Here is a 22,837-nt window from a genome sequence, read left to right as displayed (position 1 = left end):
CTGTTCCAAGGTAGTGCTCTTTGGGTTTTGTATGAATTAACATCTGTTTATGTTGACTAAACCATCATTCCGATTTTGTGGATGAGATCACCCAATTCATAAGTCCTCCTTTTGTGAACTGAGGAGGCTCAGTGACTTAGAAGAAACCCAATTCTCTTCAACTCCATATCTGAATCTTTCTGGGATTTTTGCCATCTAACTGACAAGGTTTAGGGAAGTATTTTCACTTAATAGGAAACTACATTTATCAGTCATGTCCTAGGTGCTGAGAGTAGATGGACAAAATACTCACACTTAAACAATTTTCAGTTACAGGAAGATGGACCACTGGTATGTATGGTGTGGGTGGAAGCAAGTGTGGTGTAGAAAGGCAAGGAGATAAAGGAGGCAAGGGAAGTCTTCTGAGCTGAGGCTTGTAAGTGAGAATAGACATGAGCCCCAATGACTTGGCAACACCAGCCACTTCCTGAAGGTAAAAGAATTGGAGCAGATTAAGTTAAAGATCTCCATAGAAAATGATTCATCTAGAAGATCGTAAGAGGAAAATAAATAGGCAAATATTGCTTAGACTAACAGCGTTAGAATTTTTAGACATTTAAAGCAAATTCTTCCTCATTAACACTTGACTAAAAATAACAATAGAAATAATATTGGGTACAGTCAGCTGTCCATATCCATGGGTTCCACATCTGTGGATTCAACCAAGCACAGATCAAAACTATTGGGGAAAAAAACCTATCTGTACTGAACATGTACATGTACTTTTTCCTTGCCATTATTCCCTTAACAATACAGTATAATGACTATTTACATAGCATTTACATTGTACTAGGTATTATAAGTAATCTAGAAATGATTTAAAATATACTATATTTTAAATGCTATGTATTTAATATGAATATGCTATAGTATAAAATACTATTGCCATTTTATATCAGGGACTCGAGATTTTGGTACCCACAGGAAGTCCTGGAACAAATTCTCCATGGAAACTGAGGTCAACCGTAATTTATCTGCATTTAATATGTACCAGGTACTGTGCCTAAGCTCTGTGTACGTTATCTGATTTCATACTCACTACAGCTCCTTAAAGGATCATTGTCCCCATTTGGCAGATGAAGAAGTTGAGGCTAAGGGAAGTTAAGGACTAGAGCTCAGGCTAAAACCTAAGTTTCGCTCCTTAGCCTGTAGTATCATTTTTATAAACTGCTCCTCTTTAATTCAAGGGACAGCTTGCTTGGTATTCTTCTTCTCGTCACACGAAGAAGGCAGAATAGACTGAAGAAATCAACAGAAGTTCTTAAAATTGAATTATTAGCATTATCTTCTATGCTCTTTCACCCACACATGAAGAAAATATATGCACTCAGCCACTTACTCAGACAAAGAAGGCTAATAAATGATTTGTTTCTTATATTAATGGAATTAAAAAAAGCAACAGTAAGTCAATTATTTGCCTATTGGCATAGCCCCAGAAAACCGAATCCGTTTGGACGGCTAAAGTGGAAATAGTTGTCTATTTACAACACATTTTTAATGCTCTACTGTTTCAAGTGTTTTTTTTTTGTTTGTTTGTTTTCTTTTTTCCTCCGTCTGAAAAGGAGGTTGGAAGCTTTATTGTAAATACATTGGGTGATGAGATCCATGTCTTAGTGGATCAGTGTTTTAAAGATTTGTAGGTGGCTAAACCTGTTTGGGATAGGGATAACAGAGCAGGGAAGAAGATGGAAATTAGGCAAATACAGAGCCAATCAAATGTCAAGAACCGGAAATGAGGATAATTTTTCTGGCTGTATTTATTTACAACTCAAGCTGCAACATGAACCCATCTGTGAAAATTCCATTCCTTGGGAGACACTCTTAGAGTAGTCTTCAATGTTTCCACCAGAGGGCAGTAATGTCCTCTGCTATATCTTGAGTGGCGGTGACTATTCATCAGTCGGATGGAACAGTGGGAGAGTGATCTACCCAGTCTACATTTAGACTGCAGGGTGAATTTGGTACCAAAACCCAAACAGAAGACAAAGCAGTGATATTACAGCAATAAACATGAGCTGTAAAGGCTTTTAAATCAAAACTACGAACAATAATACATTCGTCAAAGTTGATTGAATCGGGATGGTATTCAAAATTCGGAGTATGGTTAATCCTGGAAGATGCCATCAGCAGTGTTCAGTGAGCATGATGGCAAAATCCTGGTATCTCATGAAACCACAGGAAGATCATCTTTCAGAACAAACAAGAAATAAAGATAGGGCATTTCTTCTAAGACGCTCAAATATCCAAATCACCTTGCCTTGTGCCGTGGGGTAGGTCTCTTGTGTCTAATTACACCTGTCTCTCATTCCACTATTGCAGATTGGTTTAACTGGAATTAGACACTAAGATGGAATCTGAGGTGCAAAATGCTCACAATGGTCCAACACCTGGGAAAGGAGGTGGGAGAAAGCAAAACTGTCGAGTGTATGAAATTGAAATGTGATCCAGGCCTGGCAAAGCCTTGACCAATATGCCTAAGAGTCCTGGTGCAAGGATTGCCCACCAGTGTTCTGTATTACATGAACCTGACTAGGTCTTTATAACCCTGCTTCAGTCTCTCCTGGATGTGAGCTGCCCCAAGAAGGGCTAAGGAAGTCTCTGTAGGAGCTGTGAGATGAAGGCTATGTGAATACCTGAAATGGAACTTTTCTTATTTGTGACAGATGAATTTAGTCTTTGGATGTAAGATAAAGTGGGCCAAAGGGCTCCTGCTTTGTCATTCCAAAAGAGTCCTTCTTCAATGCAGTCATACTGCAATTTTTCTAAGAAATAGTTTTGTCCTGTGATTGTGATGGATTTCCTTTTCCATAAAATTACGTAGCTGAAAGAATGACAAAGGCTTACTCAGCTCAACCTACTCAGTTTACAAATGTGGAATGTGAAGTCTATAAGAGTTAAGTAACTTATTGGCAATTACACAAGTAAGTTAGTAGCAGAGTCAGAATTCAGATCTCATTAGATTACTCAATCCAGTACTCATTCTAATTTGCCAACATGTACCAATCTAGCCACACACTACTGCCAAGATTTTTTTTTTTTTTTGTAATCAGCGACATCAATAATATACTAGCTTCTCTCAGCAGTGGATGACTCAATCTGGAAATCTATTCTGCCCCCATTTTTAGCTGTTGACATCTTTATTTCAAGGCCAAGTTCAAATGCTATCTCCATTCTGTTTGGTTGAATTTTCCTTTACTTGGTAAGGAAGGAGGTATCGGTTGATTCAAGTTTTTTCCTGGTTGGAAGCCAATGGAGAGCAGATTTAATGAAACTCTTCATGCATACCATTAGTGGTGGGGGAAAAAATTAGAAAACTAGGAGCAAGAGGGGAGGAAAATAAAGTATTTAGCTAAAGAGAATTCGAGTTATGACTCAAGCCCATTTTTAAAAATTATTATTTCAGTAATACTATGAAGAGAGCACAGATTCTTTTTTATTTTATCATTATTTTTTAAATTTCAATAGTTTTTGGTGAACAGGTGGTATTTGGTCACATAAATAAGTTCTTTAGTAGTGATTTCTGAGATTCTGATGCACCCATTACCTGAGCAGTGTATATTGTACCCAATGTGTCGTCTTTTATCCCTCACCCCTTTCCCTCCCATTCCCTCAAGTCTCCGATGTCCGTTGTATCATTCCTATGCCTTTGTGTCCGCATAGTTTAGCTCCCACTTACGAGTTGCTGCAGATGCCATCATTTTATTCCTTTTTATGGTTAAGTAGTATTCCATGGTATGCATATACCACATTTTCTTTACCCACTTGTTGATTGATGAGCATTTGGACTGGTTCCATATTTTTGCAGCTGTGAATTGTGCTGCTATAAACATGCATGTGCAAGTATCTTTTTTGTATAATGACTTCATTTCCTCTGCGTAGGTACCCTGTAGTGGGATTGCTGGATCAAATGGTAGCTCTACTTTTAGTTCTTTAAGGAATCTCCACACTGTTTTCCATAGTGATTGTACTGGTTTACCTTCCCACAAATGTGTAAAAGTGGTCCCTTTTCACCACATCCACACCAACATCTATTATTTTTTATTTTTTGATTATGGCCATTCTTGCGGGAGTAAAGTGGTATCACATTACAGTTTTGATATGCATTTCCCTGATAATTAGTGATATTAAGCATTTTTTAATATGTTTGTTGGCCATTTGTATATCTTCTTTTGAGAATTGTCTATTCATGTCCTTTGCCCAGTTTTTTTGATGGGATTGTTTGTTTTGTTCTTGCTGATTTGTTTGACTTCCTGGTAGATTCTGCATATTAGTCCTTTTTTGGGTGTTATAGATTGCAAAGATTTTTGTCCTACTCTGTGGGTTCTCTGCTTACTCTGCTGATTGTTTCTTTTGCTGTGCAAAAGTTTTTTTTTTTTTTTTTTTTTTTTTGGAGACAGAGTCTTGCTCTGCCTCCTAGGCTGGAATGCAGTGATGTGATCTTGACTCACTGCAACCTCCACCTCCTGGGTTCAAGCGATTCTCTTGCCTCAGCCTCCTGAGTAACTGGGACTACAGGTGCGCACCACCACGCCCAGTTAATTTTTGTATTTTTAATAGGGACGGATTTCACCACGTTGGCCAGGATGATCTCGATCTCAAGACCTCGTGATCCACCTGCCTCAGCCTCTCAAAGTGCTGAGATTACAGGTGTGAGCCACTGTGCCCAGCCAGAAGCTTTTTACTTTAATGAAATCCCATCTATTTATGTTTGTTTTTGTTGCATTTGCTTTTGGGTTCTTGGTCATGAAGTCTTTGCCTAAGCCATGTCTAGAAGGGTTTTTTTAATGTTATCTTCCACAATTTTTATGGTTTCAGGTCTTAGATTTAAGTCTTTGATTCATATTGAGTTGATTTTTGCATAGGGTGAGATGAGGATCCAGCTTCATTCTTCTACCTGTGACTTGCCAATTATCCTAATACCATTTGTTAAATAGGGTGGCCTTTCCACACTTTGGTTTTGTTTGCTTTGTCAAAGATCAGATGATTGTAAGTATTTGGCTTTATTTCTGGGTTCTCTATTCTGTTCCATTTGTCTATATGCCTATTTTTATGCCAGTACCATGCTATTTTGGTGAATATGGCCTTATAGTATAGTTTGAAGTTGGGTGTTGTAATGCCTCCAGATTTGTTCTTTTTGCTTAGCCTTGCTTTGACTATGCAGGCTCTTTTTTTGTTCCACATGAATTTTAGGATTGTTTTTTCTAATTCTGTGAAGAATGATGGTGGTATTTTGATGGAAATTTTATTGAATTTGTAGATTGCTTTTGGCAGTATGGTCATTTTCACAATATTGATTCTGCCCATCCATGAGCATAGGGTGTGTTTCCATTTGTTTGTGTTGTGTATCATTTCTTTCAGCAGTGTTTTGTAGTTTTCCTTGTAGAAGTCTTTCACCGCCTTGGTTAAGCATATTCCTAAGTATTTTATTTCTTGCAGCTATTGTAAAAGAGATTGAGTTCTTGATTTGATTCTCAGCTTGGTACATGTTGGTATATAGCAGAGCAACTGATTTGTGTATATTAATTTTGTAACCTGAAACTTTGCTGAATTCATTTACCAGTTCCAGGGTCTTTTTGGATGAGTCTTTAGGGTTTTCTAGGTATACAATCATATCACTAGCAACCAGCGACAGTTTGACTTCCTCATTACCGATTTGGATGCCCTTTCTTTCTCTTGTCTGATTGCTCTGGCTAGGACTTGCAGTACTACGTTGAATAGAAGTGGTGAAAGTGGGCATTCTTCTTTTGTTCCAGTTCTCAGAAGGAATGCTTTCAGCTTTTCTCTGTTCAGTATAATGTTGGCTGTGGGTTTGTCATAGATGGCTTTTATTACCTTAAGGTATGTTCCCTCTATGCCGATTCTGCTGAGAGTTTTAATCATTAAGGGATGCTGGATTTTTTCAAATGCTTTTTCTGCATCTATTGAGATAATCATGTGATTTTTGTTTTTAATTCTGTTTATGTGGTGTATCACATTTATTGACTTGCTGATGTTAAACCATCCCTGCATCCCTAGTATGAAACCCACTTGATCATGGTGGATTTTCTGTTTGATCTGCTGTTTTATTCTGTTAGCTAATATTTTTTTGAATATTTTTGCATCTATGTTCATCAGAGATATTGGTCTGTAGTTTTCTTTTTTTGTTATATTCTTTCCTGGTTTTGGTAGGAGGGTGATATTGGCTTCATAGAATGATTTGGAGAGGATTCTCTCTTTCTCTATCTTTTGGAATAGTGTCAATAGGATTGTTACTAACTCTTTTTTTGCATGTCTGACAGAATTCAATTGTGAATCCATCTGGTATTGGCCTTTTTTTTGTTGGTAACTTTTTAACTATCATTTCAGTCTAGCTTCTTGTTATTGGTTTGTTCACAGTTTCTATTTCTTCCTGGTTTAATCTATGAGGGTTGTATATTTCCAGGAATTTATTCATCTCCTCTAGATTTTCTAGTTTATGCATGTAAAGGTGTTCATAGTAGCCTTTAATGATCTTTTGTATTTCTGTGGTATCAGTTGTAATATCTCCCATTTTGTTTCTAGTTGAGCTTATTTGGATCTTCTCTCTTCTTTTCCTGGTTAATCTCACTAATGAGCTATCAATTTTATTTATCCTTTCAAAGAACCAACTTTTATTTTGTTTGTCTTTGGTATTTTTTGTTTCAATTTCATGTAGTTCTCTTCTAATCTTGGTTATTTCTTTTCATCTGCTGGGTTTGGGTTTCATTTGTTCTTGCTTCTTTAATTCCTTGAAGTGTGACCTCAGATTGTTTATTTGTGATCTTTCAGACTTTTTGATGTAGGCATTTAATGCTATGAACTTTCCTTTTAGTATTGCTTTGCTGTATTCCAGAGGTTTTGATAGATTGTGTCACTGTTATTGCTCAGTTCAAATAATTTTTAAGTTTTCATCTTGATTTCATTGTTAATCTAACAATCATTCAGGAGCAGACATTTAGTTTCCATGTATTTGCATGGTTTCGAGGGTTCTTTTTGAAGTTGATTTCCAATTTTATTCCACTGTGGTCTGAGAGAGTTCTTGATATAATTTCAATTTTTCTTAAATTTGTTGAAACTTGTTTTGTGGCCTATTATATGGTCTATCTTGGAGAATGTTCATGTGCTGATGAATAGAATGTATATTCTGCAGTTGTTGGGTAGAGTGTTCTGTAAATATCTGTTAAGTCCATTTGTTCTAGGATATAGTTTAAGTCCATTGTTCCTTTGTTGAATTTCTGTCTTGATGATCTGCCTAGTGCTGTCAGTGGAGTATTGAAATCTCCCACTATTATTGTGTTGCCATCTATCTCATTCCTTAGGTCTAGTAGTAATTGTTTTATAAATTTGGGAGCTCCAGTATTAGGTGCATATATATTTAGGACTGTGATATTTTGCTGTTAGACGAGTCCTTTTGTCATCACATAATGTCCCTCTTTGTCTTTTTTAACTGCTGTTGCTTTAAAGTTTGTTTTGTCTGATCTAAGAATGGTTACTCCTGCTTGCTTTTGGTGTCCATTGGCATGGAATATCTTTTTTCACCCTTTACCTTAAGTTTATGTGAGTCCTTATGTGTCAGGTAAGTCTCCCAAAGACAGCAGATACTTGGTTGGTGACTTCTAATCCATTCTGCCATTCTGTATCTTTTTTTTTTTTTTTTTTGAGATGGAGTCTTGCTCTGTTGCCCAGGCTGGAGTGCAGGGGCACAATCTTGGCTTACTGCAATCTCTGCCTCCCAGGTTTAAGCGATTCTCCTACCTCACCCTCCCGAGTAGCTGGGACTACAGGTGCGTGCCACCATGCCTGGCTAATTTTGTATTTCTAGAAGAGATGGGGTTTCACTGTGTTAGCCAGGATGGTCTCAATCTCCTGACCTCATGACCTACTTGACTCAGCCTCCAAAAGTGTTGAGATAACAGGGGTGAGCCACCGCACCCAGCCTTTGTATCTTTTAAGTGGAGTATTTAGGCCATTTACATTCAATATCTGTATTGAGATGTGAGGTACTATTCTATTCACTGTGATTGTTGCCTGAATACTTTGGATTTTTTTTATTGTGTGATTGTTTTATAGGTCCCTTGAGATGTATACTTTAAGGAAATTCTATTTTGATGTATTTCTAGGATTTGTTTCAAGATTTAGAACTCCTTTTAGCAGTTCTTGTAGTGCTGGCTTGGTAGTGGTGAATTTTCTCAGCATTTGTTTGTCTACAAAAGACTGTATCTTTCCTTCATTTATGAAGCTTAGTTTCACTGGATACAAAATTCTTGTCTTATAATTGTTTTGTTTAAGGAGGCTAAAAGATAGGACCCCAGTCCCTTCTAGCTTGTAGGGTTTCTGCTGAAAAATCTGCTGTTAATCTGACAAATTTTTCTTTATAGGTTACTGATGCCTTTGCCTCACAGTTCTTAAGATTCTTTCCTTCGTTTTGACTTTAGATAACCTGATGACAACGTGCCTAGGCGATGATCTTTTTGCAATACATTTCCAAGGTGTTCTTTGAGCTTCTTGTGTTTGAATGTCTAGATCTCTAGCAAGACTGGGAAAGTTTTCCTCAATTATTCCCTCAAATGTGTTTTCCAAACTTTCAGATTTCTCGTTCTCCTCAGGAACACCAATTATTCTTAGGTTTGCTCGTTTAACATAATCCCACACTTCTTGGAGGCTTTGTTCATTTTTTTAAAATTATTTTTTGTTTGTTTTTGTTGGATTGGGTTAATTCAAAAGCCTTATCTTTGAACTCTGAAGTTCTTTCTTCTACTTGTTTGATTCTGTTGCTGACTTTCCAGTGCATTTTGCATTTCTCAAAGTGTGTCTTTGATTTCCAGAAGTTGTGATTTTTTTTTTACTTATGCTATCTATTTTACTAGAGATTTTTCCATTCATATCTTATATATATATATATTTTTTTAAGTTATACTCTACCTTTCTCTGATGCCTCCTTGATTGCCTTAATAATCAACCTTTTGAGTGTTTTTTTTCTGGCAATTCAGAGATTTCTACTTGGTTTGGATCCATTGCTGGTGAGCTAGTATGATTTTCTGGGGGTGTTAAAGAACCTTGTTTGTCACATTACCAGAATTATTTTTCTAGTTCTTTCTCATTTGTGTAGACTATTTCAGAGGGAAGATCTGGGACTCAAGGGCTGCTGCTCAGATTCTTTTGTCCCACGGGGGTGTTCCCTTGATGTGGTGCACTCCTCTTTCCCCTAGGCATGGGGCTTCTTGAGAGCTGAACTGCAGTTACTGTTATTTCTCCTCTGGATCTAGCTACCCAGCGGAGGTATCAGGCTCCAGGCTGGTATTGGGGAGTGTCTGCAAAGAGCCCTGTGATGTGACCTGTTATCAGGTCTGTCAGCCATGGATCCCAACAACTACTCTGGTGGAAGTAGAAGGGGAGTAAGGTGGACTCTGTGAGAGTCCTTAGTTGTATTTTTGTTAAGTGTGCTGGTTTTGTGTTGGCTGGCCTCCAGCCAGGAGGTGGTGCTTCAAGACTGCATCAGCTGCAGTTGTATAAGAAGGATACAAGCTTGCTCTAGAGTCATCTTTGGATAAATATTCCAGTTTCTCAGGTGGGGGGCAAGGCCATAGAGCTCCCTAGAGATTATGACCTTTGTCTTTGGCTTCCAGGGTGGGTAGAGAAAGACCATCAGCTGGGGGCAGGGTTAGGCGTGTCTGAACTCAGACTCTCCTTGGGTGGGGCTTGCTACAGCTGCTGTGGGGAGTGGGGGTGTGAGTCCCAGGCCAATGTAGTTATGCTCCCAAGGGGATTATGGCTGTCTCTGTTGCATCACACAGATCACCAGGGAAGTGAAGGAAAGCCAGCAGCCACAGGCCTCACCCAGCTCCCACACAGCCTGCATCCTGAAAGGCTGGTCTCACTCCTACTGTGCTCCTGCAACAGCACCAAGTATATTTCCAGGCAACTGGTGAGCAGGGCTGAGAACTTGCCCCAGACCACAAGTCTCCCAGCTGAGAAAGCACAGCTCCTCAGTTGTCCCACAGAGCCTGCAGTGGCAATCCACCTCCTTCAAAAGTTCTGTGAATTCTCTCAGCTTTCCTGGTATGTTCCTGCGGTAGTTCTTGGAGCAAAAGTTCATGATGTGGGTCTCCACTTGCTGCTCTGTCCCTCCACGTGGCAGCTGCAAGTTAGTGCTTCCTCCTATCAGCCATTTTTCTGATAACCAATCCTCAAGCCCATTTTGAGGCTTATTATGTTATACACTTAATGATGATCATGATGATTACCCTTAATCATAGCACTATTGGCCAGGCGCAGTGGCTCACACCTATAATCCCAGCACTTTGGGAGGGTGAGGCGGGAGGATCACGAGGTGAAGTGATGGAGACCATCCTGGCCAACATGGTGAAACCTTGTCTCTACTAAAAATACAAAAATTAACTGGACATGGTGGTACATGCCTGTAGTCCCAGCTACTTGGGAGGCTGAGGCAGGAGAATTGCTTGAACCTGGGAGGCAAAGGTTGCAGTGAGCTGAGCTCATGCCACTGCATTCCAGCCTAGTGACAGAGCATGAATCCATCTAAAAACAAACAAACAAACAAAACTCCACAACAACAACAACAAAAAACCCATAGCACTATTATCCTATGTTATAGATATGAAAATTGGGGCTGGGATGGTTTATACAGTTTGAGCAAATTTAGGTAGGACTTCCTTTCCTTCCTTCCTTTCTTTTCCTTCTATTTATTCATTCAATCTTTTATTACATATTCATTGCCTATACTGTGTCTAACACTCCAGTGTATATGTGCCTTACATTGGACTGCATTGTATAAGAAGGAAATAACCTTTTATTTCTTAAGCCACTGAGATTTGTTACTTGTTTGTTTTTGGTTTTTGTTTTTTATAACAACCCACAACTGACTAATGCAAAAGTATTGGTCAAATCTGTCCTTGTGACTTCAAATGTTGAAAAAATTAATATATGGAATTATTTCCTTCTAATGTGAATAAAACATTTGAGATGGTGTGGTTACGATGATGGGACTGTATGACAGCTTATTGCAGTACTCACAGTTCTAACACATTTGCTATGTGATATGTTTACTTGGAGATTAAACCACATGCCCTGTGTATTATTCAGGGTGTGTGTATTCATTTATTTTGACCTGGTACTTTTATTCTATTTGTACTATGTACAGAGCTTTGGTCTTCTCATTTCTAATCAGTTTTCTCTTTCTATCTCTCTGTACTCTCAATTGTTTTAGTGTTTAGTCTAGTAGTAGTTTCTAGTCTAGTAGTCTATTTGGTCTTTCCTGAAATGTTTCTTTAATCTTCATGATTTTTTCACAGTTTTATCTTCCTTACATCTTTAAGATTTTCATTGCGTAAATGTTCAATGATGCACACAATTTTTTACTGAATACACAACACTCTGAAAGTCACATTTTAAAAAGCCCTTTAATGCATTGTATTAAGTTCAAAATCAGTGATGCATGTTTAATATTATATGCTTAGCATGTTCCAAAATTAATTTAAAATATTAAGCCAACATGTCCTTAGAAATGCATTCAATTTTTTTTTACCTGACAGTGTCAATTTTTCATATTATCACTGAGAACTTGTCTTTTCATTGGTAGATGTGATTATCTGAAAACTCACTGAGCTGAATCTTGGAAAAAGATAAGAATTTGGATTTTAATTGGTTCTTTAACAGCCCTGTGAAATTAATATATAAAGAAGAAATAAAAAACAGCAAAAAAACTGAAAAACATTGGAAACTATAATTTCACTTACTTTTATTCTTAATAAGGCAGGAAAATAAAGGAATTATAGATTTTTTGGAAGAATAATTATCAGAAGAGAAAGTTTCCAGAGTAAACTCCACTGACTTAGTTCATTTCACGCAGTCATTGAGTAAACTGCCACTCTGTGCTAGGCACTGGCAATACAAAGATCTGTAATATGTGTTGATCAAGGTATGTATGGATGGAGTCAGTGAGAGGTAGATATGCAGACAGGCAATTACAATACAATACTTCATTTCCCTAATAAAGCAAGCCTTGTACAAAGAACAAACATTTGACCTCCTTGTGAAAACAGGAACACTTCATACAGGATGGGCCAATAATGCAAGGACTAATGGGACTTGGTAGAGAGACAACGGCATCCAATACTGGTAAGGTAGTATGAACAGCTCTGGATAAAGACAGGGAAAGCAGTGAGTGCTTGGGAAATTGCAAACGATTTGGTGTGCTTGGAGAACAAAGTGAGAAGTGGATAGGATGCTGGGTGGGAAGGGTGAAGGTGGAGATGACAAGAAAAGACTGTAGGCAATACTACTGGAATATAAGTTTATCCTTAGGAAATGATATGTTATTGTGTGATTTTAAATCAGGGAGTCATAGGATCAGATTTGTGTTTTAGGAAGATCATCTGTCAGTGGTGTGCAGGATGCAAGAAGTTGCCGAGGATGATGGCCGGAGGGTAGCTTAGGAGCCTACTAGCATAGTCCGTGTACAAAATGAGGGACTGACTAGGGGAAGGCTGTAGAGAAACACAGAAACGGAGGAAGATATGAAATATTTAGGAGATAGAATTGAGTGGATTTGGTACCTCATTAGATATAATCAACGGGGAAGGAAAAGGTATCGAGGATAAATGTCAGGTTTCTGGCTTGGTTAATTGCATTCTCAGTGTTTTCACTCATAACAATAAGAAATGCAGGATCTTGTAGACTGAATTTTGACCATCCCCATTCATGTGTTGGAGCCCTAACCCTCAACATCCCTGGGTTTGGAGATGGGGCCTTTAAGGAGGTAAGTAAGGTTAAACGAGATCGTAAGTGTGGGCTCCTAATCTGAGAGGACATATAAGAGGAAGAGACACCACATTTTTCTCTTTCCCTCTTTCTCTTCCTCGTTCTCCCCCCAATATCCCCTCTCTTTCTCTCTCCTCACAGGACAGGCTAGATGCTGACAGCTTGATCTTGGACCTCAAGTTTTCCGAATTGTGATAAATAGATGTTTATAATAAAGCCACCCAGTCTGTGGTATCTTGTTGTGATAGCTGGACCTGACTAATACACAGGGCATGTGGCAAGTTTAAGGGGAAGATGTCTTTCTGAAACATTTGAATCAATCAGAAGTTCTTTTGGAACAACTAAGGAAAGATGTCAGGTAAGTGGATGAATATATCTCTTTGAGTCAGGAGAGTTCTGGGTTGAAGATATAATTTTGGAAGTTACTGGGAAATATGCATAGTAGTGGAAGCCTTTAAAATGGTTATGATGGCTGCCAGTGAACAGGCTGATTCCTTCATCTATTTAGCAAATAACTAACAAATATTTACCATATTCCAGAAATTCTATGCACTTAGAGAGTGAATAAAACACTAATCCCTGAGCTTCTAGAACTTGGAGAAAGACAGTATATGATAACTGTGATATGAAAGCATATTATACAGAATGTTAGAATAGAATAAATGATGTAGAATAAGATAAAGTTAGCTAAGGTAAGAGGAATTGGGAGTGCTGGACTGGGGCAAGGTGAAGATTGCACTGTTTACAAGATAGTCAGATAAAAATGATTTGAAGGAGGGTGGGAGACCGCAAGGATTTATCTCGGTGAAGAGCATTCCAAACAGAGGTAACAGGCGCTGCAAGGGTTTATGGCTGGGATGTGTTGACCAGGTGGTCAGTGTGGCTTGAGCGGAGTGAGTGAGAAGAGTGATGGTAGATGAAATCGGAGAATTCACAGTAGGGTAGGTGTTCAGATCAGGGCTCCATATAGGCTAAGGACTTTGACTTTGAGTCAAATGTGATGTAATTGGGGATTTTAAGTAGAGAGTGATGATAGGCTCTGCCTTATGTTTAAACACATCACTCTGGCTGCTTTATGAGAACATAAACTGCAATAGGGCAAGTGCTGAAGCAGAAAGACTGGCTAGAAGGCTATTCTATAGTTCCAGAAGAAAGATAGATGGTGGTAACTTGGATCCACTTGCTGACTGCAGTGAGGGAGAGAAGTGATAGAATTCTGCATATATTTTGAAGGTAGAGCTAGAAGGATTTGTTTCTGGATTGGTAGAGTTTAAGAGAAAGAGTCAAGCATGAGACCAAGCTTTCCAGCCTTAGCATCGAGAAGTATGGAGTTAGCTTGAAATGGAGCAGATTTCTCTTTTTTTCTTTTTGGTTTCAGTGGAGGGTGGTGGGTGGGGGTGGGGGGGCTCTGGGGGGCAGGGAGTGCAGTGCAGAGAGAGGGAGGTAAGGGAAACTTTTTTGATATGTTAAATTTGCTTGTCTAGTGCATATTGAAGTGCAAATGTGGTGAAGGTAGTTGGATTGTTTGAGTTTGAATTCAGGGAAGAAGTCTGTTCTCAATTTACAAATTTGAAAATTACCAATACATAGATGTTATTTAAAGCCATGAGACTGAATGAAACCCCTTAAGAAGATATTACAGACTGAGAAAAGAAGAGAGCTCAGGCATGAGTCCTGGGCACTCTAATATTAAGAGATTGAAAAGAGAAGTGGAAAACAGAAAAAAAGATTGAGAAAGTATGACCAGTGAGATAGAAAGAAAACCAAGAACGTGTGGTTCCTGGAAGCTGCGTGGAGGAAGCAGAAAAGGGATGAGGGATCAACTATGTCAAATGCGCCTGACAGTCACTTATACAATAACGACTAGGCCGGGTGTGGTGGCTCACGCTTGTAATCTCAGCACTTTGGGAGGCTGAGGCGGGCGGATCACAAGGTCAGGAGATCGAGACCATCCTGGCTAACATGGTGAAACCCAGTCTCTACTAAAAAAATACAACAAATTAGCCCGGCATGGTGGCTGGCGCCTATAGTCCCAGCTACTTGGAAGGCTGAGGCAGGAGAAAGGCGTGAACCCAGGAAGCGGAGCTTGCAGTGAACACAGATGCGCCACTGCACTCCAGCCCGGGTGACAGAATGAGACTCCATCTCAAAAAAAAAAAAAAAAAAAAGTAGTAAAACAGAGGTTCCCAGCCTTTCTTAGTTTATGTCACCCTGGCTGTCTCGGTAGTTTTGTATGGGTCTCCTAGGCCAAAAGAAATACATAACAATTTTGTTTATTAAGTGGCCTTACCCCAAACATTTCATAAGTATTTTTGTCCTATCAACTTAGTAGCCATTTGGAAACCTAAAACATACAAATTTAAAGAAAAAAAATTAATATTTAATTTTATTCTAAAATAACCATAATTACTTTCTAATGAGATGCGTGTACCCGTTGGATATTGTTAGGAATAACACTAAACCTTGGAACCTGTTTGAGAACTGCCAAATTCATTTCCTATTCCACACTGGTTTTTGTACAGTCCTTAACTTTTTATTACAAACACCAGAAACTCAGATCTGCAAAAATACGATATCATTGAAAGGAATGCAGTGCAATCTAACATTGTAATTGTGAGCTAACTTGAGCTAGTAGCTTGGGCAGAATTTGAGAGATATGTTTTCCTTGAAATTTTAAAATATCCCGAGGGGTTCAGTGAGTTTGCTGGCTACTTAGGGAGCCTTGGAACCTAGAAGGAGAACTGAGGTGCTGAGAATTGACCACTGGGTTTTGCAGCCGGATTCATAGATAGGTAGACCATATATTTTATCATCCAAATAGAGATAACACAGGTAAAAATGAAAGGGTGCATTAGCATTATTAAGTGTGATATCTGGAGTAACAGATTGTTGGGGAAAACTGGAACTATTGACTACCTAGTAACTTAGGTGGAAAGGTGGGGTGAGAACCTGATTTGAGTGGCGTTAAGAACGAATGAGAAAAGAGATGTTGAAGGCAATGAGTACTGAAGAAAACTGAGAGTTGAGAACACAGCCTAGTATTTATGGAGCTGACGGAGGAAAAAAGAGCAAAATGATAGGAAAGAAGCAAGAGACAAACCAAAGGAGGGGAAAATTGAAAGGCGGTTGTGTTTGATGGCATCAAATGCAAAAAGCAAACAAAATAAAACAATTGAAATGTATCCATAGGACTTGCAAGAAAGATAAGAACAGTCTTTGTTGACCTATGGGGATTATTAAGCTAACATTTAGTTAGTTGAGGCATGTAGAGAAGAAATAGAGGCAGCTTGTTCCTTGTAAAATAGATGAGTGGGGCAAATGCTAGAAAATGTTGCATGTAAGCAGGCTGAATTATTTGAAAATGTATCCCACACTTGAGAAGCACCTTTTTTTTAAGCATTTGATGTGATGTTATTGTTCATCTTTGTAACTGCTTTGTAATTTTATATGCATTTATGATCATTGAATTTATTCCCGTGGGAAGAAAACCTGAAAAACATTTCAAGGACCATTTAAACTCTCATCTCTTCCTCAGTTCTTTCAGAAATCCTCTGAGATTTACACTTTCTTTCATTTCTTTTTGAGAATTTGTCATTTTGTTTTTGCATTTAGTCTTTTACTGATCTCTTATTTTCAAAGTGTAAGCCTCCTTTTCCCAGTAGCTGTAAACATTCTGAACTGTGACCCTCCTGGCATGCATCAGGGATGCTCTAACCTTGCACGGGCTGCTTATAAAGACCCCCTTCTTCTTTGCTTCAGATCTGTGTTCAAATGTCCCCTTCATAAAGAGGCATGTCCTAGGCATACCTATTTAAATTGCAACCTGTCTGATATGCTTTTGATGTCCCCTCCAAATCTCATGTCAAAATATAATCACCAGTGTTGAAGGTGGGGCCTAGTGGGAGGTGTTTGGATTATGGGGGCAAAACCCTCATAAAAGGCTTAGTGCCATCCCCTTGGTGATGAGAGAGTTCTCTGGAGATCTAGTTGTTTGAAAGTGAGTGGCATCTCCCCCTTCTGTCTCTCTTGTTCCCATTCTCATAATGTGATGTGCCTGCTTCCACGTCACCTTCTGCCACTAGTAAAAGCTCCCTGAGGCCTCCCCAGAAGCTGAGCAATGCCAGCACCATGCTTGCATGGCCTACAGAACCAGGAGCCAATCAAACTATTTTAAATTACCCAGTCTCAAGTATGCCTTTATAGAAATGCAAGAAGATCCTGACACACCTTCCTTCTCTCACCCCATTACCTGTATCTCAATCACTATTATCCTGCTCCATTTTTTCCTAAAACATTTTCAAATTCTGACATATAATTACTTTTATGTTTAGTGTTCATCTTCTGTGTTCCATGAAATAGAACATAACTTCCACCATGGCAGAGATTTAGGAGGAAGAGGGTGGTCTCTTTTGTTCACTGATGATCCTAACAGCCCAGTGTATAAAATATGCTCAATAAGTTACTTCTTAAGTGAATAAATTTGATTTTTATGAATCTCCTTCATCAAGTCTCCCCTGTGGCCTCAATGTCTCCTTTTTTAATTTCAAAGAACTGACTTGAATTGGTTCAGAAATCTGAAAAGTTTCCTAAATTCCCAAAGCCATGACAATTGCTTCCTTTATCTCTCAGTGGGCCGAAGCACATTTCTGTCTAGAGTGGCCAGTCAAGAGCTTTTCTTTCTTTCTTTTTTTTTTTTCTAAGCCTTGAATGAAATGCTTTTTGAAAATTACATGGACTACTTTCATGTTCCACATTTTTATTTAGAATTTCTTTAATTGACTTTTATCTTTTTTATTTGTCCCTTTTGTGTTCCCTTATACTTTTCATACAGCTTGCTGCCTCAAAATGCTGTTTGATGACACTGGTTTAGAAAATAGAAAACAGATTTTTCTTTTCTCCGAAGAAATAGAAAACTTTCCTCTGTACTCCAAGGGATATACAGGAAGAATAGAAATATGAATTTGAACTGTGACTAAGAGTCAGCATGTACTTTCCCTTCTCTGGAAAAAGAAAAGAAAAAAGCTGGAGAAGTAAAGCTCAGAAGCACGGTTGGGTATGGCTGAGTTAAGTAGACTACATGAAAAATAAACAGTCAACAATCTTACAGAGAAAATGAATTTTGCTCTTTGATGTAAGAAAAAGCCCACTCACCTTTATTTTTAAAATGTCCTGAGTTGAGGTAAACAATATCTATTTTTGCTATTAAAAAATTCTATTTCTGTCTGATATTTTTCCCAATTGATAGAAATCAGAAGAACACTCCTAGAGAAATTAACACTAAAATGCAAAAGCACTGTAATAGCTCCTCTTTGATATTATGAATTGACTTTAACCTGATTTGCTCTCTAAATTTCTTAGGTTATTTCTGAATTTTGTTTATAGTTTATTAGCATGTTAAATATTTTTTGTGGTTTTGATTTGCATACATATACAATATTTTGGTTATATTAAAAATAAAATAACTGGTATGTGTTTCCTACCTCCTGATTTGCTTTCTGTTACTGGTATAAGCCTATTTTTACATTGCTGTCAGGCCTGTTTAGTTAATAGGATGTGTTAGCCAGTGTTTTCTGTATATACTTCAGAGGCTTTAGAGTTTTGCAGTTCAGCCCATTGCCTTTTTAAATTACTAGGTTAGAGTGGTTTTAGGTTTACAGTGAAATTAAGCAAAAAGTGTGGAGTTTCCACATACTGCAACTTCTCCCCCTTCCCCTACCCCATCCCTATAATACACAGTCTGCCTCACCATTGAGATGCCCTACCATGAACAACTATAAGCCAATAAATTGGAAAAACTAGAAGAAATGGATAAATTCCTGGATACATACAATCTACCAAAATTGAATAATTAAGAAACAGAAAATCTGAACAGATCAATATCAAGTAACAAAATTGAATCAGTAGTGAAATGTCTCCCATCAAAGAAAACCCCAGGACCCGATGCCTTCACTGCTGAATTCTGTCAAACATTTAAAGAAGAACAATCTGAACAGATCAATATCTAGTAAGAAAATTGAATAAGTAATAAAATGCCTCCCGTCAAAGAAAAGCCCAGGACCTGATGCCTTCACTGCCACATTCTCTCAAACATTTAAAGAACTAACACCAATACTCTGTAAACTATTCCAAAAATTGAAGAGAAGGGAATACTTCCAAACTCAATCTATGAGGACAGTATTACCCTAATACAAAATCAGACAAGGACACAACCAAAGAAGAAAACTACAGGCCAATATCCCTGATGCACATAGATGCAAAAATCTCAACAAAATATTAGCAAGCCAAATTCAACAGCACATTAAAAATACCATTAACCATGATCAAGTAGGATTCATCCCAGGTATGCAAGAATGATTCAAGAATATGGAAACCCAGCTGGGTGCGGTGGCTCATGCCTGTAATCCCAGCACTCTGGGAGGCCGAAGTGGGCAGATCACCTGAGGTCGGGAGTTCGAGACCAGCCTGACCAACATGGAGAAACCCCATCTCTACTAAAAATACAAAATTAGCCGGGAGTGGTGGCGCACTCCAGCCTGGACATCAAGAGTGAAACTCTTTCTCAAAAAAAAAAAAAAATGGAAACCAGTAAACTTGATATATCACATTAACAAAATCAAGCACAAAACCCATGTGGTTATTTCAAAAATCAGTAGCATTTTATACACCAATAGTAAACTATATGAAAAAGAAAGAAAGAAGGCAATCCCATTTATAACACCTAAAAAAATACATAGGAGTAAATTCAACCAAGGAGGTGAAAGATCTCTACAATTAAAAGTATAAAACATTGATGGAAGAAATTGAATGAAAAGATATTTTATGTACAAGAATTGAAAGAATTAATATTGCTAAAATGTCCATATCACTCAAATAATCTTCAGATTTAACACAATATCTATCAAAATACCAATGACATTCTTCATGGAAATAGAAAAAACAATACTAAAATTTATATGAAAACACAAAAGACTCCAAATTGCCAAAGTAATGTTGGGCAAAAGGAAAAAAACTGGAGGCATCACACTACCTGATGTCAAAATGCACTACAAAGCTATAGTAACAAAACGCCCTGCTATAAACATAAAAGTAGACATATGGACCAATGGAACAGGAAAGAAAAGTCAGAAATAAATGCACTCACTTAGAGCCAACTGATTTTTGACAAGGCACCAAGAACATACATTGAGGAAAAGACAGTCTTTTCAATAAGTGTTGCTAAAAAAACTAAATATCCACCTGTAAAAGAAGGAAGCTAGATCCCTGTAGCTCACAATCTATAAAAATCAACCCAAAATGGATTAAAGACATAAATGTATGACCCAGAACTATAAAACTACTAGAAGAAAACATAAAACATAGAGTAATGCTTCATGACATTGATCTGGGTAAGGATTTTTTGGATAAGATTTCAAAAGCACAGGCAACGAAAGAAAACATAGACAAATGGCATTACATTAAATGAAAAAGTTTCTGTGCAACAAAGGAAACAATCAAGAGAGTGAAGAGAAAACTTAAAAATGGGAGAAAATATTTGCAAACTATGCATTTGCCTAGGAGTTAATATCCAGAATATAAAAGGAATTCAAACAATGCAATAGAAAATAGCAAATAATTTGATTTTAGGCGGGGCGTGGTGGCTCACGCCTATAATCCCAGCATTTTGGGAGGCCAAGGTGGGTGGATCAGGAGGTCAGGAGTTTGAGACCAGCCTGGCCAATGTGGTGAAACCCCATCAATACTAAAAATACAAAAATTAGCCGGGTTCAGTGGCGGGTGCCTGTAATCCCAGCTACTCGGGAGGCTGAGGTAGGAGAATCGCTTGAACCCGGGAGGTGGAGGTTGCAGGGAGCCAAGATTGCACCACTGCACTCTAGCCTGAGTGACAGAGCAATACTCTCTTAAAAAAAAATTGATTTTGAAAATGAGAAAAAGGCGTGAATAGATATTTCTTATAAAAAGACATGCAAATTGCTAAGAGGTATAGAAAAAAATTCTTAATATCAATAACCTGTTGCTGTTGCTCCACATCCTCGACATTTTGTGGTGTTAGGATTTTCAGAAAATGATGAGGCATCAAACGCTAGAGATCAATTAGTTAATTTTTAATTTCTTTTTAGGGGAGACAGAGAGAGAGAGAGACAGGAAGGGAGAGATGGGGGGGGAGGGATGGGATAAGGAGTGGAGAAAAGAGAAAGAAGGAGAGGAGAGGAGACAGATGAGAGAGTTCTTCTTTTCTTTATAGAATTTCTTAGTTCTGAGGTTTCCTTGGTATCTTGTTGATATGATTTAGCTCTGGGTCCCCACCCAAACCCTATCTTGAATTGTAATTCCCGTGTGTTGAGGGAGGGACCTGGTGGGAGGTGATTGAATTATGGGGGCAGTTTCCCCCATGCTGTTCTCGTAGAAGTGAGTGGATCTCATGGGATCTGATGGCTTTTTAGTGTTTGGTAGTTTCTCAACTCACGCTTCTCTCTCCTGCCACCTTGTGAAGAAGGTGCCTGCTTCCCCTTCATCTTCCATCTTATGTAAGTTTCCTGAGGCCTCCCCAGCCATGCAGAACTCTGAGTCCATTAAACCTCTGTCCTTTGTAAATTACCCAGTCTCCAGTATTGCTTTATAGCAGTGTGAAAATGTACTAATACACTTGCAGGCCATTCCTGGAAGAGAAAATGTACTTACAAGATTAATAACCATGAAGAATAGCTTGAAAAGGATGGGCAATAAGTAAATCCCTAGATTTTTAGCTCTGTGTAAGCAAGGTTTATTAATAGCATTTACTTAGCAATATTCAATTAGAACTATACACTTCATGGTACATTTACTTCTTCTATTGGCTATTTTTTACCTTCTATTTTTGTAGCACTCAAATTAGGTAAGAGCCTTTCACCATATCTAATACCACCAATATTCAAGATTGATCTAGATATTCTATATATATATATATATATATGTATATATATATATATAGACTCCATTACCTCCCTGTGCATTCATGACTTCTTGAAAAGTTACTATTGTTAACATAATTAATAATAATAAACACATCTTTTATCATCTCACAAACCAAATAATATAAAGGTTTCATTTTGCAATCTCCTTGCAATGTGAATGCATCACTTTTATAGTGCCCAAATTCCAAATTTTACTAATTGAAGGGATTTTGCTAATTGAATTACAAATACTGAGTTTGGAAAATCCACCATAGTCAAGGCACCTATTTCCCACCTGAGGCCCAAACCTAAGTACTGTCTTTAGCAGACTCAAAGGCCCTAACATGCAGAGTGATGTCTGTGAACATCAGGAAGCCTTAGAGTTTTCATTTGGTGATTCATAAATCCACAAGGATGTAAAAAGGGGTTCCCATTGGTTCACGAATTAAAGGTGACAATAGCATCTACTTAATTTCTGGTAATAAAAATAAATAAACAAGTTGCTAATAATTTTGTACCATTTTAAATTGGAACAATGCAGAAGTCTCTGTACTGACTGAATGTACACCATGAGTTGGAAGGAAGTCAAGATCAGAGGAGAGGGGGTGGTATGCTGAGGACTTGGATGTTCCAAGTTACCACTCAGCTAAAGAGTAGCATTAGTATTTTAAAGTTTTTAATATTTAAATTCTCACATATTGTTTATAGTCACTAATGGTTACTAGTTCAAGTCAGAAGCAAAAGGAATACAGATGCTAAAATGGAAAAAAAAAATCGACGAAGACTGAAAAAGTGATAATTCTTTAAATTCACCTAAAGAGGATATTTCCCAGATCTGTGTCTTGCATCCATTAGATCAAATTATTCAAACTTCAAGAAATCTCTTACACTTCAAAAAAACAGTGCTAAAAAGAGAAAGTTAATAGATGATTTTTTTGGGGGGGGGTTATATGGGAATAAATATTTTCCGTAACTGCATTGCATTACTTGAACATAAATGTTATTTTTAAAAAGCCTACAATCCTCTCTTTAGAAATATTTTTCAAAATGTGTTTTAAAAATGTCATAAAATTTAACTTTATGTAAGTATA

At 37.9% G+C, this 22,837-nt stretch overlaps 1 long non-coding RNA gene across 2 annotated transcripts in view; it reads left to right on the top strand.

Moving 5' to 3' along the window:
- Nucleotides 1-17,929, top strand: part of LINC02406 (long intergenic non-protein coding RNA 2406) — a 57,760-nt gene extending 39,831 nt beyond the window's left edge. The window contains exons 1-3 of one of the 2 annotated variants that reach the window (NR_183478.1): nt 9,876-10,095; nt 12,958-13,174; nt 17,648-17,929. This is a non-coding gene — a long non-coding RNA (long intergenic non-protein coding RNA 2406). Of the gene's footprint in view, nt 1-9,875; nt 10,096-12,957; nt 13,175-17,647 lie in introns of those variants that run through there. The other variant, NR_183477.1, reaches the window with a different exon arrangement.
- The last annotated feature ends 4,908 nt before the right edge of the window (nt 17,930-22,837 follow it).

The sequence above is a fragment of the Homo sapiens genome, chromosome 12 (assembly GCF_000001405.40).
Source record: "Homo sapiens chromosome 12, GRCh38.p14 Primary Assembly".
NCBI classification, from domain to species: domain Eukaryota; kingdom Metazoa; phylum Chordata; class Mammalia; order Primates; family Hominidae; genus Homo; species Homo sapiens.
The sequence above is the reverse complement of the archived record's forward strand: the minus strand, read 5'-3'. Positions and strand labels throughout refer to the sequence as shown.